We start from the raw sequence: 17,636 nt of genomic DNA, 5'->3' as shown, positions 1-17,636 counted from the left end.
GGCTAATTTTTGTATTTTTAGTAGAGACAGGGTTTCACCATACTGGTCAGGCTGGTCTCAAACTCCTGACCTCAGGTGATCCACCCACCTCGGCCTCCCAAAGTGCCGGGATTACTGGCATGAGCCACTGCGCCCGGCCAAGTTTTCAACTATACCAAAAGTTATGGTAAGTAGTAGAAATGTACTAGTATAACCCTAGACAAATTTGAGTCATGTTAACTGTTCAATGCTTTTTATTTTTTCAACACTATCTAGTACTTAAAGGCAGTAAATTGAATCCATGCGTTCACCTCTGCCATCTCTCAAAACTTCACTAAAATGTCAGTGATATTTTTGAGATATAACATGCATACATTTGAATGCATAAAATGCCCTATTCTTAAGTATACAGCTCAATATTTCTTTTATACATGTGGTTGTTCAGGTAACTACCACTGAGATCATACTACAGGAATTTTACAGAACCTATAAGGTTCCCTCATATCCTTTCCCAGGCTATTCCCTACCCCCAAGAGGTAAGTAAGCACTATCCTGACTTTACGTAGTCATCTAGTTTTGCTAATGACGTTACTTTTAGAAGGGCAAGATTCTACAAGGATAAAGGGAACAGGGAAGATAAGAGCAATCAGATTTGGGAAGCTGGAAATCAGATGGATGCACTAGATAGCACATGGACAAATGAAAGTGACCTGGTAGAGCCAGGAAAACTGAAACCTAAGCCAGCAAATGAGGAAAACCCAGAAGTAAGTTCATTTACATAGCAGAATACGAGACGGGTATTATGAGTCAGCAGCACCAAGTACCTTTATGGGAGGTGAACCTGGGGCTCAAAATAGGAAGACTGGTTAAAGATTTGTTCAATAAGTAGTTAGGAAAAAAAGACAGAATGGTACAAATTGACATAATTTGCTTCCTAATTAGATGTACTGGTAAGAACAAAACATCACTTTCATAGTTTTCCTGCCAAAATTGCACAGGAATGTCATCAAGAGGAAACTATCAGAAAAAAAAGAGATTGAAGAACAATCTATAATACAAGTGGTCTTCAAATATGTCTATGTCGTAAGAGACAGAGAAGAATGACCAGATTAAGGAGACTAAAGAGACATAACAGATAGATGCAATGCTTAATCGTGGATTAGATGTGGAATTGTTTAAACAAATAGCTATGGAAGACTCACTATGGTTAAGATGTCAGTTCTTCCCAACTTTGATCAGTACATTCAATGCAATCCAATCAAAATTCCAGCAAGTTACTTTCTGGATATCAACAAAATGATTATCAAGTTTATACGCAAAGGCAAAAACTCAGGAGAGCCAGAATAAACTTCAAGAAAAATAAAGTTTAAGAACTTAAATGACCTGATTTAGAGACTTACTATAAAGCTACAGTAATCAAGACAGTATGGTATTAGTGAAAGAGTATACAAATAGGTCAATAGAACAGAAGAGAAAGTCTAGAAATAGACTCACGCAGATACAGTCAACTGATCTTTGACAAAGGAGCAAAGGCAGTTCAATGGAGAAAGAATAGTCTTTTTAACAAAAGGTGCTGGATCAACTGAACATCCATATGCAAAACAAAAAAAAAAAAGAATCTAGACACTGACTATACCTTTCACAAAAATTAACTGAAAATTTATCACAGATCTAAATATAAAATACAAAACTATAAAACTCCTAGAATATAGGAGAAAATCTAGATGACCTTGGGCTTTGTCCATAAAAATAAATGTGCCAAAAATGCGGTAAAGAAAAAATGCAGATGGAATCCTGGAAATAATCTACAGCAACCACTTTATTTTGCATATAAGAAATCAGACAGAGAGAGACTTACTAATCTGTCCAATCTCTAGGCTTTATTTTTTCTTTATGTCCAGGCTTTATTTTTTCTTTATAGATGAACACTATGCATACATAAATTGCATATAAATATATAGCATGATAAATTTTCAGTTCAGTACTTTTTAACTTGAACACACTGATTTTTATTTTGTTTTATTTTATTTTATGTTATTTTTGAGATGGAGTCTCGTTCTGTCGCCCAGGCTGGAGTGCGGTGGCACCATCTCCACTCACTGCAACCTCTGCCTCCCGAGCAGCTGGTACTACAGGCATGCCCCACCACGCCCTGCTAATTTTTGTGTTTTTGGTAGAGACAGGCTTCACCATGTTGGCCAGGCTGGTCTCGAACTCCTGACCTCAAGTGATTCGCCCGCCTCGGCTTCCCAAAGTGCTGGGACTACAGGTATGAGCCACCACAACCGGCCTTTTTTTTTGTTTTTTTGGTTTTTTTTGAGACAGGGTCTCACTGTCACCAAGGCTGAAGCGCAGTGGTGCAATCTCAGCTCACTGCAACCTCCGCCTCCCAGCTTCAAGCCATTCTCCTGCCTCAGCCTCCCGAGCAGCTGGGACTACAGGAACACTCCACCATGCCTAGCTAATTGTTGTATTTTTAGTAGAGATGGGGTTTTACCATGTTAGCCAGGCTGGTCTTAAACTCCTGACCTCAAGTGACCTGCCCACATAGGCCTCCCAAAGTGCTAGCATTACAGGCGTGAGCCACTGCACCTGGCCTGATTTTTATTTTTAAATAATGAGTAAGGGTGCATTTTTAACAAAGTTCACAGACAGCAGAAGAGGATTAGTCCTTCAAAACCATCCATACATCAAGCCCATCTACATATTTTTAACAACATACATTTAAAGCTAATCAAAAGACAAGAATAAAAATTATAAATTAAAATACTACTCTCGGCCAGGCGCAGGGGCTCACACCTGTAATCCCAGCACTTTGGGAGACCGAGGCAGGCGTATCACGAGGTCAGGAGATCAAGATCATCCTAGCCAATGTAGGGAAACCCCGTCACTACTAAAAATACAAAAATTAGCTGGGCATGGCACTGCGTGCCTGTAGTCCCAGCTACGCGGGAGGCTGAGGCAGGAGAATTGCTTGAACCCAGGAGGCAGAGGCTGCAGTAAGCTGAGATTGTACCACTGCACTCCAGCCTGGGCGACAGAGGAAGACTCTGTCTCAAAAAAAAAAAAAAAAACCCTACTCTCATTACTTTGCAGTAACACTTAATTTTCGACTCCAAATTCCATTACTTAGTTTGTAAACCGACTCTTACAGAATCAAAATGGAGAATTTAAAAGAATCATCATAGGCACTGAAGGAAATTCCAAAAGAAAGTTCTAAAAAATGTTTGGAGAAATAAAAGCATAGCTGCAATAAAGTCTACATTCTTCACATGATTATTTTGAAGGAAATCAAGATCATTTGATTACCTAGCTTCAGCTACATTCATTAACACACCACAGAAACTGTGTCTGCCCAACTAATAGCTATGGAAAACAATAATGACTTCAAAAAGCTCTTTGATTACGCCACTGCACTCCAGCCCGGGTGACAGTGCAAAACTCCATCTCGAAAAAATAAAACAAACAAAAAACAAAGGAAAAAGAACAAAAAAATAAAAAACAAGATATTTCTCTTCCGGTACCATTACTCTTGCTGAATTACTTGCAATTAATTTCAAGAAACTCCTATAACTACTTAGATTTCTGGCTTTAAAATGATATTTCTTCTTCATAATTTCTATATTTTTCCAAGTTTGCTAAAATGAGCACATATTACTCACAGGAAAAAAGCATTTCAACTCTTGTGATGTCCCTGTCTGAAATCTCCCATTCAAACCACATTAGCTTTGTCAAGACTCTACGCCTAATCTTCATGCTGCGGCTTTTAAGCTAGTAAAAGTCTTATAACTGGCCTATCCTCATTCTCTATTCTCTCTGCATTCCATCTCTTCCTTTCAAGTAATTTAAGTCTCCAAATTCCATCACTCTGTTTCTACATGTAATTCAGTCTCCCTGCAGTGGCTGCCCAAGACCCTCTCCCCTGTCATGAGGGTAATTTTCAGTGGAAAAGTCAGAAAGCACACCAAAAATGATTTCTGCTTTTGGGAATGTTATTCTTGACCAACCAAAGTTCTTGACATCCAGTTGCACAGCTGCAGTAGCTTCCCTTTATCTCTTAGTGCATCACAGATCTTTGGCAATAAAATCTAGTCATTGGGACCAGAAACCTTCCTTCCAGCAAAAGGTCCAGCTGCTAAAATATTTATCTTGGCAGCTTTCATGTCAGTGCTGAACAACTCCTAAGATGTATAAATTAATGGTGCTGTTGTTCTTATAATCATTATTCGCTTATTACTATTTACTTGACTATTAAGGTACTTAATGATAAAAACTGTGTCTGTTCTTTTCCATCAGGAAGGAGAAGGTAAAAAAAAAAAAGAAAGAAAGAAAAGAAACTGTGTCTGTTCTTTAATATTTATCTCAGGCAGCCCTTTTTTTTTTTGTTTTAAATGGAGTCTTGCTCTGTCCCCCAGGGTGGAGTGCAATGGCACAATCTCAGCTCACTGCAACTTCCACCTCCCGGGTTCAAATGATTCTCCTGGCTCAGCTTCCCAAGTAGCTTAGATTACAGGTGCCCACCAACACATCCGGCTAATTTTTGTATTTTCAGTAGAGACAGAGTTGCACCATGTTGGCCAGGCTTGTCTCAAACTCCTGACCTCAGGTGATCTGCATGCCTTGGCCTCCCAAAAGCTGGGATTATAGGCATGATCACGGGGCCTGGCCCAGGCAGCTTTTTGAACACCGTGATGTTCAAAAGATATGTGAGTAAACAAGTTTACCACAACCATACTTTCAAATACTTACCTTGTAGAATTTTAATTCAATATTATGACAACCAATTTCTTATGCATAATAAGGTAAGCTTCCATACTATGTCTAGATTTAAAAAAAATGCTTACTCTTTTCTGTCATCTCAGTGCTTGTTAGGTCTTCTGTCTGCTTGGAGTGATTTCTTATATTGATGCCAGTAAGCGTACTTAGAAATGAAAGTTCTGATTCTAAATGTCCAAGCTGATTTTTCAGATCTTTTGAAGACTTCCATCCTTCCAAATTGAATTGGTGTATGGCTTGAAAAGATTTTCTAAAAGGCAAATATCAAAAATAATCACTCCAATTACTAACACGTGTTTCATCTAATAACCCCATTTTCCTCAAAGCATTCCCATTTTGTCCCTCTTACTCTCTTCCAATTAAGTCACCTTCCCCCATTAAAATAAAAAAAATTAAAAAATTAAAAAGAATTTTCTCAAAACCAGTGTGGTTACTAACACCACCACTTTTTTTTTCTTTCTTCCTTTTTAAGAGATGAGGGTCTTACGCTGTCACCCAGCCTGGAGTGCAGTGGTGTAATCATAGTGCACTGCAGCCTTGAACTCCCAGGCTCAAAGGATCCTCCTGAGTAGCTGGGACCACAGGTATGCCACTGTGCCTAGCTAATTTTTTTTTCCTTCTCATAGAGACAAGGTCTGGCTTTATTACCTAGGCTGGTCTTAAACTCCTGACTTCAAGCAATCCTCCCGCCTCAGTCTCCCAGCGTGCTGGATTACAGGCGTGATCCACCATGCCCAGCCCACAATCTTTAATTTCAACAAAAAACATATGTAACCAAATTATACTTCCAAATTTCCACATATTAGAAACACCTTTCAAATAAATTATAACAGGACTACTTTGCAAAATTACAATGTGTGTTCTGACCCATGAAATTCCAGCCTAAATGTCTGATATATCTCTCAAATTATTTTAAAAGATGTCTTGAAATTAAAAAATAGGCCAGGCGCCGTGGCTCACGCCTGTAATCCCAGCACTTTGGGAAGCCAAGGCGGGTGGATCACGCGGTCAGGAGATCAAGACCATCCTGGCTAACACAGTGAAACCCCATGTCTACTAAATATACAAAAAATTTGCCAGGCGTGGTGGCAGGCGCCTGTAGTCCCAGCTACTCGGGAGGCTGAGGCAGGAGAATGGTGTGAACCTGGGAGGCGGAGCTTGCAGTGAGCAGAGATTGTGCCACTGCACTCCAACCTGGGCGACAGAGCGAGACTCCCTCTCAAAAAAATAAAAAAAGAAAGAAATTAAAAAATAAAATCAATTAGCTAACTTTAATTTCTAAAAGTAAACACCACAGAACGTTTTATAGTAAGAAAGAGATTTATCGGAAAAAGAAATAGCAAATCTCTTTAAACATCACTATGGCCAGACATTCTTCATTGAGAACATATAAATATATTTTCCTTGAGAAAAAGAATGAAATTTTAGTTGGCCTGGCGCAGTGGCTCACGCCTGCAATCCCAGCACTTTGGGAGGCCAAGGCAGGTGGATCACTTGAGGTCAGGAGTTCGAGACCAGCCTGGCCAATATGGTGAAACCCCTTCTCTACTAAAAATACAAAAAATTAGCCTCGAGTGGTGGCGGGTGCCTGTAATCCTGGCTACCCAGGAGGCTGAGGCAGGAGAATTGCTTGAGTATGGGAGGCAGAGGTTGCAGTGAGCCAAGATCACGCCACTGTATTCCAGCCTGGGCAACAAAGTAAGACTCTGTCTCAACAAAAAAAAAAAAAAACAAAGAAAAGAAAAAAAAAACTTAAACTTTTTTAAAAAAAGAAATTTTAGCTAATAATTGTATTAGATGGTATTTTTTTTTTGTCATCCATTATTTCCTTTAAACACTCTGCTACATTCTATACTGTTGACTTTTCCGGCCAGCTTAAAACATCTCTTCCTTGGATTCTTGGGCATAATTATCCCAATTCTCATTTGCTATCTAGGGTCAGCTTCTTGTCTCCAACATTAGAGGAAAACCCTAACACTCTTACTTCTGCTATCCTAAATATGTATTCTTTCATTCTGCAGGAACACTAAATGATTAGCCTTAGCTCCTCTATGCCAGTAACTCTTAAAATATACCTCTAACCATGTATCTCTTCTTCCTGCAAGGTAGATCTAGCTTGATAGCTCACCAAATCGTTTCTCTTGGAATCTGCTTTTCCTCTAAATTACCCTACATTTGTTAATAATAAAATATTTCCCTTGGTATGTCAGGCTCTATACCTTGGAAGTTATCCTTGACTCCTTCACTTGCCTGACATCTGGACTTACTGCCATCCGTTCTGCTCCCTCACATAACTATTCTTCCTTTTGTATTTCTAATTCTACTACATTAACCAATGCTCTTATGACCTTATACCATCTCTACACAGAATAATCTAACTCTATATTCTTCACACTGAGAATCCAAGACTTAATAAAGTCTGTAAAATTTGTCTCAAATTTTGTTTTAATGCTAATTTAAAATGTTAATATAAGTATATTCTGTATCATGAAACTACCACAGCTTCTTTTGCATTTGCCATCATAGACTGATGCCCCTACAAATTACATTAAATATAGAAGTCAAGGAAAAAAGAACAGATTGGGCACAGCGACTCACTCCTGTAATCCTGAGGCAGCCCAGGAGTTCAAGACCAGTCGGGCCAACATGGTAAAACCCCATGTCTACCAAAAAATACACACACACACACACACACAAAATTATCTGGGCATAGTGGCAGGTGCCATGCCTTCAGTCCCAACTACTTGGCTGGTGGAGGGTCGCTGAGGCAGGACGATTGCTTGAGCATGGGAGGTGGGTGAAGGTTGCAGTGAGTCATAATCATGCCACTGCACTTCAGCATGGGCAACAGAGTGAGACCCTCTCTCAAAAAACAAAACAAAAAAGAAAAAGAAAAAGAAAAAAGAACAGAGACAATCTTCATATATAAATGATGTGCGGCCGGGCACGGTGGCTCACGTAATCCCAGAAGTTTGGGATGCCGAGGTGGGCAGATCACCTGAGGTCAAGAGTTCGAGACCAGACTGCCCAACATGGCGAAACCCCATCTCTAGTAAAAATACAAAAAATTAGCTGGGCATGGTGGCGGGTGCCTGTAATCCCAGTTACTCGGGAGGCTGAGGCAGGAGACTCCCTTGAACCCAGGGGGCGGAGGTTGCAGTGAGCTGAGGTTGCGCCACCACACTCCAGCCTGGGCGACAAGAGCGAAACTCCGTCTCAAAAAAAAAAAAAAAAAAAGCCATAAATATAAATGAGCTTCTGACAAGTGAACACCAAATGTCACAGCAAACTATGAAGGAAAATTTCAAGGTATTTCCGATAGAGCAAAGTGGTAAGAGAACCAAGTCATCATTAAAGGCTGGATATGCAGAACTCAAAAAAGAACCTGCAGTTGTCAGAGTGGCTAGTAGGGAGTTCGTGTTTAATAGGTATGGTGTTTCAGTTTAGGGGTGATGAAAAAGTTCTGAAGATGGACAGTGGTGATGGCTGTACAACAATGTGCATGTGTTTAATGCCATTGAGCTGAACGCTCAAAAATGGTTAAAATAGTAAATCTTATGTATATTTTGCCACAAAAAGAAAATCTGCATATTCTTATTCATAGCAGTTATTTAGTTTGAGCAAAATATTTGTGTATTTCAACTAATGATGTTAGTTTGAGCTATTTTGGATTTGTTTGAATTTTATTCACTTTGTGGTTTTATTATTTGTAAGTTTGTCCTCATAACATAAAAATTTTTTGTCAGAATTAGGAGCTTGCAAGAATTTTTTTTCCTTTAAAATCAATCTGTACACGAGTTTAAAGGTCAATGGTCTACTAATGAGTGTTAGTTACTATTATGAGGCAAGTACTCTTCTAAATGAACTACATATATTAACTCAATTAGTCCTCACAGCAACCCAAAAACTTGGGTATAATTTTACCACGGAGGAAACTGAAGCACAGAAAGGGGGAGCTCACTTAACCAAGATCACTCAGCCAATAGCAGAGACAGGATTTGAAAGCAGGCAATTTGGCTCCACAGTGTGGACATATGGATATAGCTGAATAATTTAGCTCCAATTTTCCTACCTCCAATCCATCCAACCACTTATAATCACTTAAAAAAATAGCTTGGTACATAGGTTCCAATCCTCCTCCTCCACTATAGTGAAAAGAAACCTCACGGTTAAATCCAAACACCCTGGACTGACATTTAATGTCTCCCACAATCTGGACTCTTCTGACTTTCCAATTTAACCACTGAGAAGTCCCAGATTATATAAATAATCTACTAAGAACTAAAAATAAAATCCTACCCCACCCCCACAATCACCTGAACCGACTCCCTCTTGGTCAAGGGGACCCCAAAGAAACCTTAAAAACTCAGTTCTTAACCATGACAGGATGGGAGGTCAGACACACCTCGTTATACCCCTTCCTATTTGGGATGTAGACACAACAACTGACCAGCATTAATGTTAAAATAGAGATCGTAAGAGTTGCAGAACGGACTCTGTGGCAATAAGATACCAAATTATAAACAAGACCTAAGGCCATGCCAGGCAAGGGTTAAGTCACATACCCCCTACCTTTAAAAGAATGAACTATGTTCTAACTGCCACAATATTTTTTTCACTAGCACTGGCCTCCAGATAAGCAATATTGAAATAATTGCAGTTCATCCACCACCAGATGCTAACTGATTCCCCTGTTCCACAGGCTTTGATAGGACAAGAGAATGATTTCAAAAATTTTCTTTTGATAAGATCACCAACCATGGACTTGTTCTAACAGGTTTACAAGGCCTGTGTACTTAAGTACCTTTGCTTCCCTCCTTCAACTTTTGACGTACAGGGCCTAATTGTAATGCATTTAAATATTAAGTCAGCTTCCCAAAATGAATATGGAGTGCATGTAATATGCATTTTTATTCAGTACAGGTGAGCACATCTCCCTTCGTGAATATTCATAGCCCCTCCTATAACCTGTTGAATATGTATACCTAGCCCACTCATACAGCATAAATCCCTGCCCCAACCCCTCCTCCTCCAAAGTGTGGGCCTTTCTGCTTTGCCTGAGACTATGCTTCCTAGCCTGTCAGGATGGCCACTTTGCAGACTGTAACCCTTTTTAAGAAATAGTCTCTCTAAATTTGCAGATCTCATGATTTTTCAGTTGACACTACTATGGGGACTAATGAAATCTTGTGGCCAGTAAAGAAACTATTTTTCCCTGGTTCTTAAACTTCCAAGTGTGCACACAAATCCTCTGTTAGGGCAGTGTATTTTTTTAAAATGCAGATTCTGATTCAGTAGGTCAGGATGTCGCTCTAACAAACCGCCAGGTAATGCTAAAGCGTCCCATCTGTGGAGCACACCTCAAATAGCAAGGGTCTTTAATACATTTACTCTCATTTGTGGAGGAGCACACCTTTTTCCTCTCCCTTTAACCAGTCACAGCTTCCTCTACTTTCATGACCGCACGCAGACATTTTCTGTAGATCTCCTCCTTCCCATTTTCTACCAATTCTTCTCCAGTTAGCTCAGGAAAAATCCCATTCTTTCTGCACCTATGTCAAATTACTCTTGACTCAAAAATTGAAGACAGTTTATGTTTTCGAGAGGCTTCTATGTTTGAGATGATAATACATAATTACGGTTGCAGAGCTTTTCTCTCCCTCTCCTTCAATAAACCAAAAGTGCCCAGACTTTGGAGTAAAATTTTTGGGTCCCAATCCATCTCTGACAATTCCTTTCTCTGGAACCTTGGACAAGCTACCTAACTTCTCTGAGCCTCAGTTTCTTCAACTATAAAACAGGGCTAACAGTAGCACCTACCTCAGAGGAATGTCAAATTCTCCTGCAGTCTATATTAACTACTTTTCTTTTATCAACTTAGTTTTTTACCGAAGTTATTTTTCAAAGGAATTTTTATGTCATCGTAAACACAAAGTCATTATCAGTTGAGATGGTTAGCTGACCTACCAAAACAAATGCCATGAAACCAAACGGAGTTATTAAATCCCAACTAGAGATACTTCTGCATACTGGAGGCGGAATTATCTAGCTAGGGATATAGTCAAGACTTCCTCCTTGTCAGTCATCCACACAGACGACTGCGATTAAACGAGTTAATACCCTGCAATGCGTTTACAGCTGGGCGCCGTACGCGCTGCTCCCAACTCTAGGCCATCGTCATGACAGGATCAATGCCAGTTCATGCCCACTTTCTAGGGCTGGGAGTAGGAGACCGAGGATGTCTGTGGAGATTCACCCGCCTGGCCCGGGAACCCTGGCCAGCGGGCCCTGGGGGACTTGGGGTGGTCACGTACTGGACTCGGGACTTCTCTTCCCAGGGCGCCGGTGGGTCCTCACACGCTCGCCGCAGGGCCGCGATCTCAGCTTGCAAGGCGCGCACCTCTGCCAGCTCTGCGTCCATGGCGCGTTGCTGACCGCAGCCGGGCCGGCAGCGCAGCTGTCACTCCGACCTGCGCGCTTCACCCGCGCTTCAAGCCTCGCGCGCGCTCCCGGCGCGGACCATCCCAGAGCTCACGCGGAGGGGAGGCGGGAGAGCTCCGCGTGACCCCAGCGGCCCTGCACGTCCAACTCCGCTCTCGCACGAGAGCCTGAGTCCTCCACTTCCCCGCACACGTTTCCCTGGCTGTCTAAGCAGTGGCTATACTTTCTCTGGAGAGCGCGTTCTTTGCTACTCCAAGCCCAAGCGCTCCGCTGCTCACCCTAGCCGGCAGCCTTGGAGCCGCCCGGCCGCGTGCCTCACTAAAGAGGCAGGGCTGGGATCACGTGGAGGGGAGCGCCTCTTTATTTTTTTCACCTACTTCCTCTCTTACGCCGACCTAGTCCAGGAATTGGTACACACAGCGATAGTGTTCAATAGAAACTAGGGGATTTTGGTTTAGGCTCTTTTGCAGTCGTTGAGGGGGAGGTGACGGAGGCGTCAGGGAAGGTGGGAGGACGGAAAAGGAAATTAAAAGCTCTTGGGAACTGAATTGTGGTAACGGAACCTTAGGAGGCTGGGTTGGAAATCGAGTAGGAAGGAAGAGAGGATGCTCCGTTGGGACACGTGACCAGAAGTTAGGGGCTGCAGCGGCGCTGGCTTTAGGTGAACGACGTGGTGAGGAGTGGGTTTCGGGCATGAGAAGTCACAGGGCCGTTTCCTAGTCTCTCTTCACTTCTTTGGGTCTTCTCAGAGAAAGAAGGCTGCCGTGGGTAGGCTGGGGGCGGAGACTATCGGGAAGAGGTAGGCCGAAGTTCTGCCCAGAATACACGCCATGTGGTGGACGCTGGTTGGGAGTCTCTTCTGGAAAGAGTCTGTCAGCTCTTGGGGAAGGGAAGGGCGAGAGCTGAGCGCCTGCCGGGTGCTAAACGAAATGAGAGATACTATGATGGGCCCTAGTACCTCTGGAAAAGTTTTCCTGAGTCCCCTGTGATACAGCAACCTTCATAGTATAGTGTTAAGAATTCCAAGTTCTGAAGGTAGACCTGCATTATAATCCTGGATTCACTAATTTTCGGTATGGCATTGAGGAAGTGACTTAACCTCTTCTGCTCTCCTGAAAAATGGGAAACATGCAAACTACTTTGTACAATGCAGGCACATAGCAAAAACACAAGTCTGTATTCGCTATATCCCTTGATCTTTGTGTCTGAACCCCACTTTGCAGCACTTTTATTGTGACATAATATTGTGCCATTTGTTTTATTCTTTTGTGACTATAAGGAGCTCCTAGCCTCTCTATTCACTTCTTTGGGTCTTCTAGGAGGAAGAAGGCTGGGGTGGGTAGGTTGGGGGTGGAGACAATTAGGAAGAGGTAGGCTAGCTCTTTTTATCTTTTAGTGCGTTACATCCTGTTTCTGTCAGACTTTGTTAAAGACAGTAAATGAATGTATGAGTGAGTCAAGGAAAAACATCTAAAAACATGAATACATAAAATTAAGAGGGATAGAGTGTAATATTATGGCCATTTGGAGGAAAAAAACTCTGTCTGTACCTGTGTCTATATGGGTATGGGGTTGCTGTTCCAAAGTGCATTCATGAAAGATGTGGATGTAGGGCTTGGGCAAAACCTCGAAGACTAAAATTTGGAAGTAATACAATAGGAAGTGAAATACAGATCCAGGAGACGGATTTGATACAGAAGGTTCAGAGGAAGTAGTTGTTTTGTTAGATTTTAGAAGAACTAAGGGAAAGAACTCTTCTCTGTATACAGAAAATTACTTTTCCCACTGAAACACACCCAAGTATATGCCCAGCCTTCATGAAAGTGAACAGAGAAACGAAGCGCCTTTATGTGGGTGGCCTTAGCCAGGACATTTCTGAGGCAGACCTACAAAATCAGTTCAGCAGATTTGGAGAAGTTTCGGATGTGGAGATCATCACACGGAAAGATGACCAAGGTAATTTATGGTCCTTCACTGGGCAGTTATAGGCAGACATAACTCAGGTTAAGTGCTAGAAAATAAAACAACCCCAAGATAAATGTTAGCTCTGAACACCAAAAGTTTTAAGTGATGTTGTGGAGGTATAATGTGTGATGTGGAACTTGACCAGAATTTGTTTCTGAAATAAGAAAAAATTCCAAATTCTAAAACATCTGATTTCAGAAACATATTAACTTCCAGTTTTGAGAACTAGAATTTTCTAACATGGATTAAGTGTCCCGTTAAGTAGACTATCACTAGCATACAATCAAAATGTTTCCTTATCTGACTACTGGACATTTTCTTCTTTTTTTTTTTGGAATATTTTGATAATTATGCTTATTTTTATAGCCAATAAAAAACAAGGTTTATCTTTGAAATAATAAGTTTTCAAGAGCTATTTTTTTTTTTAATTTAGAAACAACCGTTTTTACATTGCTCTCTGGATAAGAATTTAAATAAATTGTTTTGTTTGTTTGTTTGTTTGTTTTTTAGGAAACCCACAGAAAGTTTTTGCATATATCAACATCAGTGTAGCAGAAGCGGACCTGAAAAAATGTAAGATCATCATATATTTTCTATACTGTTTGCCAGTTTGTATGACTCTGTAACTTGGAATAACTGGTTCTAAATCTAAACCTCCACAGCCATTTTTCACGTTATCCAGAGGGACAGCAGTGATGAAGAGAATTCCAGTATCGTATAACTCAGCAGGTTTAGGTCCATTCCATTTGGCATCAGCAGACATGGTAGCACTTTACTGGTGGGTTTACTTAAAACTGCTATTCTCAAATATTTTGGACAAGGGACCAAACTTTCATAGAAACTGCCTGTTACATATATCCCACTGAATATCATGCCACATTCCCCCTCAGTCTGATCATTTCTTTGACAGCTAATCCTTGTCACTAAACACTCTTGAGGGGGCTTTAAAATACACCCTTGTAAGACCGTATCCTTGAAATTGTGAAATCTCTTGTTGATAAGTTTAGTAAAGTCAAGGGCAAACAGTGGCCTTCAATGAAGAATGGGAGATAATCCATACTGCCGCTGACACAGTAACATATTCTAGTTATTTGGAGGCCAAAAAGTGAAAAAAGACACGGAAAATAAGTAAAGGGAACACGCTAATAGAGGAAGAGGGCAATCAGTCTTTTGTAATTTCATTTGCGAAAAGATTGCTTTATTCTATTTTACATTGAGGAATATATGTGATAAATGTGAAGTTGTGGTTAAGAATACATCAACTAGGCTTTGTGACCTGTGGCAAGTTACTTAAACTTCTCAGCCCAAGTTTGCTTATGTGATGAATGACAAAAGATAGTGCTTGCCTCATAATATTTCTGTGAGAATTAAATTAAATGATACATTTGCAATACTTTGGGAGGCTAAGGCAGGTGGATCACTTGAGGTCAGGAGTTTGAGACCAGCCTGGCCAACATGGTGAAACCCCATCTTTACTAAAAATACCACAATTAGCTGGGTGTGGTGGCAGACACCTGTAATCCCAGCTACTTGGGAGGCTGAGACAGGAGAATCACCAGGGAGGCAGAGGTTGCAGTGAGCCAAGATAGTGCCACTGCACTCCAGCCTGGGCGACAGAAGGACACTCTGTCTCAAAAAGAAAAGATAAATTTGTACTTAGTACAGTATCTACCACCTACAAAATTCTGTTAATGGTATTATTAAGGAAGCTGACGGCAGATGCTCAGAGAAATCAATTACTACGGCATAGTAATTCAAACAGTTCAGTCACTCATAGTTAATTCATCTGCAAGTTCTACAGTGATAATTAGTATGAGGTGATAAATAAAATTAAGGTGCTGTAGGATTCCAGAGTGTCCTCTGATTCACCTGAAAAGATGATTGTTTTATAGTTACAGGAAATATATGTTTTATAGTTACAGGAAATAACAATAAAATATACATTAAATATCAGTTATTCAGAGGTTCCTGACATTTGTTTACAAACAAATTGCAAATAAATTTTGCTTTACTTTTTACACATTTTGCCTCATTCCAATCTAGTAACACTGTGAGATAGGGAGTGTAAAGACTCTTTTGGTAAGTTGTCAAGATGAAACAAGAGCCTAGGCTCCCTCTCTCCAGGTCTCATTTCTTTTCTTCCACTTCCCCTGGATCTCTTTGTGATAAACAAGCCTGCTTTTCTTGATACTAAATAATTAGAAAAAGCACAAGCTGAAATATATTTTTACATTGCCATGTACTTGTAATAATTCTTTACTTTATAGGTATGTCTGTTTTAAATAAAACAAAATGGAAAGGTGGAACATTACAAATTCAACTAGCAAAAGAAAGCTTTCTGCACAGGTAAGTTTTGCTCCACATGGATTTAAGCCCTATTTTTTTTATATTGTAAGTGGTTTTATATATTATTTCAAATTATCAAGTAATATAGTATTATATTCTTAACAAATTCAAACATATAAGTAGAGCTGAAATCCCTTTCAACTCTGAATCCCCTTCACCCCAGACGAACAAAAAGGATAATTTCATGCATTTACGTATGTATGTAATAAGCTATAAAAGTATATATGTACTTATTTTCTCTGTTAATGAGCTATAAAAGCATATATGTACTTATTTTCTCTTTGTTAACACACCCTTTTGTGGCAATGTAGATCTTCTCCCTTTATAACAATTGTTAGTAGTATTTCAGAAAATGGTTATACCACAATGTAGTGGTCCCTTCCCACTGATGACTGTTTCTACTTTTTCATGGTCATAGATGATCCTGGAGCACATATCCTATGTATATGCAGGTGTTTCTCTCAGTTTATATCAGAAAATGGAGTTGCTGAATCTTAGCATTGTCTGCATTTAAATTTTAGTAGACTACTAAATTGCATATGTTGATTTTGACTGTTAATGCTAGTGTCATACCAAAATATAAAGGAAATAGGAGATCACTGTATGACAGGCATAAGAGTGATTATGCAAGTGATTTAAGAGCAAGACAATGTATTATAAAAACCATTAGAGCTTTTAAAATCCTAAAGGTATTTTCAGGAAGAAAAGGTATTGTTGGGGAGTTTTCAAAATAGGAAACAATTTAAGAATATACAGATAGAGGCCGGGCACGGTGGCTCACGCCTGTAATCCCAGCACTTTGGGAGGCCGAGGCGGGTGGATCACCTGAGGTCAGGAGTTCAAGACCAGCCTGGCTAAAGTGGTGAAACCCCGTCTCTACTAAAAATACAAAAATTAGCTGGTTGTGGTCATGGGCTCCTGTAATCCCAGCTACTTGGGAGGCTGAGGCAGGAGAATCACTTGAACCTGGGAGGCGGAGGTTGCAGTGAGCCTACATTGTGCCATTGCACTCCAGCCTGGGCAACAGGAGTGAAACTCTTGTCTCAAACAAAAAAAAAGGAAAAAAAAAAAAGAATATACAGGTAGAATGACCAGGAGAGTTGATAAGCTTGTTCCAGACCAATGAAATGTAACAAGAACAGATATATTCTAAAACGAGTGGCAAGCAACCTACTTTGAGGCATGTTTTGGGGGACTGGCCTTATGAAAAAGGTGAGAATTTGATTTTGTTCTTCAGCTGAAGCCTAGGACTGTGAACAGGGTGGTTATATACCTTTCATTCCAGCAGCAGTTGCCAGCCTACTGTGTACAGGCACTAGAGCCCCATGCTGAGCAGGTTGAGCACACAGTGCTGCTGCTTGGAGTATCTGCGTGGATATGCCTGAGAAGCATGGGTCTGATGGTTATTCTGGGACATAAAGGAGACAGACCAGAGGCAAAGAGGCCAGTGAGGACTGCTCTGTGCAGTTGTCCAGGCCTGAAGAAGGTGGCGGTGATTTGAATCAGAAGAGGTGGCATTCTCTTCATTAGGAGGATATGGATAATCAAGACCTAACAAATTGGGCTCCGAAAGATACCTTCGTCATGGGGAAGAGTGAATGGAGAGAAGATAATATAAAATGCCAAACGTATATAAATTGAAAGGGGAAAATTGAGAGAACTTGCGATCCATGGTCTTGGTCTTCCATAAAGGGGAACTGGGACATCCACTGGAGCAGAGCACAGGTATAAGCGTGCATGTCAGGGATTTGGGAGACTGACTGTAGTGTAGTGGATGGGCTAAGAAAAGAACCCTCATGCTCTGGTGGGACAGCCCTGACAGCACAGCTTGTCACTGCTGTCCAACCGTATAGCTCAGTTGCTGGTGGTAAGGGACTGGTCAATAAACTACAGTAGATTGATGGAAAGGCATGTTGTACAGCAATCATAGTGATGTTTTCAAAGAACGTATAAGTTGATAAATGAAGTGTACCCAACTGTGCTTATGATATTTGGATTACATTATAAAATATGTATATTTACATACAGAACAAAGATGAAGTTAAGTAAACAAAATATTAACAAGATGAGGGATAAGGAATATGTTTTGTTTTCTTAACGGTTCTGTCTTCCAGTATTCTATAATAAAA

At 40.6% G+C, this 17,636-nt stretch overlaps 2 protein-coding genes across 19 annotated transcripts in view, besides 4 other annotated features; one reads left to right on the top strand and one right to left on the bottom strand.

Annotated features, from left to right (window-relative positions):
- CENPP (centromere protein P) overlaps positions 1 to 11,707 on the bottom strand; it is a 295,062-nt gene extending 283,355 nt beyond the window's left edge. For 5 of the 7 annotated variants that reach the window (NM_001012267.3, XM_011518689.2, XM_047423391.1 and 2 more), the window contains exons 1-2: positions 11,070 to 11,222; positions 4,824 to 5,005 (exon numbers count right to left, since the gene is read on the bottom strand). In NM_001012267.3, the coding sequence (NP_001012267.1) occupies positions 4,824 to 5,005; positions 11,070 to 11,176 (289 nt within the window). In that variant the 5' untranslated portion in view covers positions 11,177 to 11,222. Of the gene's footprint in view, positions 1 to 4,823; positions 5,006 to 10,722; positions 10,851 to 11,069 lie in introns of those variants that run through there. The other 2 variants (XM_024447543.2, NM_001286969.1) reach the window with 2 other exon arrangements.
- Positions 11,617 to 11,726: an enhancer, noted in NCBI's record as "active region_28595". NCBI's record gives its function as "activates an Ori minimal core promoter by ATAC-STARR-seq in GM12878 lymphoblastoid cells {active_cell/tissue: GM12878}" and the evidence as "EXISTENCE:reporter gene assay evidence [ECO:0000049][PMID:35858748]".
- Positions 11,617 to 12,543: a biological region, named in NCBI's record as "H3K27ac hESC enhancer GRCh37_chr9:95086914-95087802".
- Positions 11,655 to 12,543: an enhancer, noted in NCBI's record as "H3K27ac hESC enhancer chr9:95086914-95087802 (GRCh37/hg19 assembly coordinates)". NCBI's record gives its function as "activates a minimal SCP1, AML or CMV promoter by ChIP-STARR-seq in primed H9 embryonic stem cells {active_cell/tissue: H9 hESC(primed)}" and the evidence as "EXISTENCE:reporter gene assay evidence [ECO:0000049][PMID:30033119]".
- Positions 11,757 to 11,876: an enhancer, noted in NCBI's record as "active region_28594". NCBI's record gives its function as "activates an Ori minimal core promoter by ATAC-STARR-seq in GM12878 lymphoblastoid cells {active_cell/tissue: GM12878}" and the evidence as "EXISTENCE:reporter gene assay evidence [ECO:0000049][PMID:35858748]".
- Positions 11,825 to 17,636, top strand: part of NOL8 (nucleolar protein 8) — a 27,993-nt gene continuing 22,181 nt past the window's right edge. For 6 of the 12 annotated variants that reach the window (NR_046106.2, NM_001330722.2, NM_017948.6 and 3 more), the window contains exons 1-4: positions 11,825 to 11,869; positions 12,966 to 13,152; positions 13,672 to 13,734; positions 15,429 to 15,507. Coding sequence is in view for 10 of the 12 variants with exons in the window: in NM_001330722.2 (NP_001317651.1) it covers positions 13,014 to 13,152; positions 13,672 to 13,734; positions 15,429 to 15,507 (281 nt within the window). In the remaining 2 variants the exon portion in view is untranslated. Of the gene's footprint in view, positions 11,996 to 12,965; positions 13,153 to 13,671; positions 13,735 to 13,823; positions 13,940 to 15,428; positions 15,508 to 17,037; positions 17,233 to 17,636 lie in introns of those variants that run through there. The other 6 variants (NM_001256394.2, NM_001438181.1, XM_024447594.2 and 3 more) reach the window with 6 other exon arrangements.

This window comes from Homo sapiens, chromosome 9 (genome assembly GCF_000001405.40).
Source record: "Homo sapiens chromosome 9, GRCh38.p14 Primary Assembly".
Taxonomy (NCBI): domain Eukaryota; kingdom Metazoa; phylum Chordata; class Mammalia; order Primates; family Hominidae; genus Homo; species Homo sapiens.
This window is presented reverse-complemented; position numbering and strand designations above follow the sequence as displayed.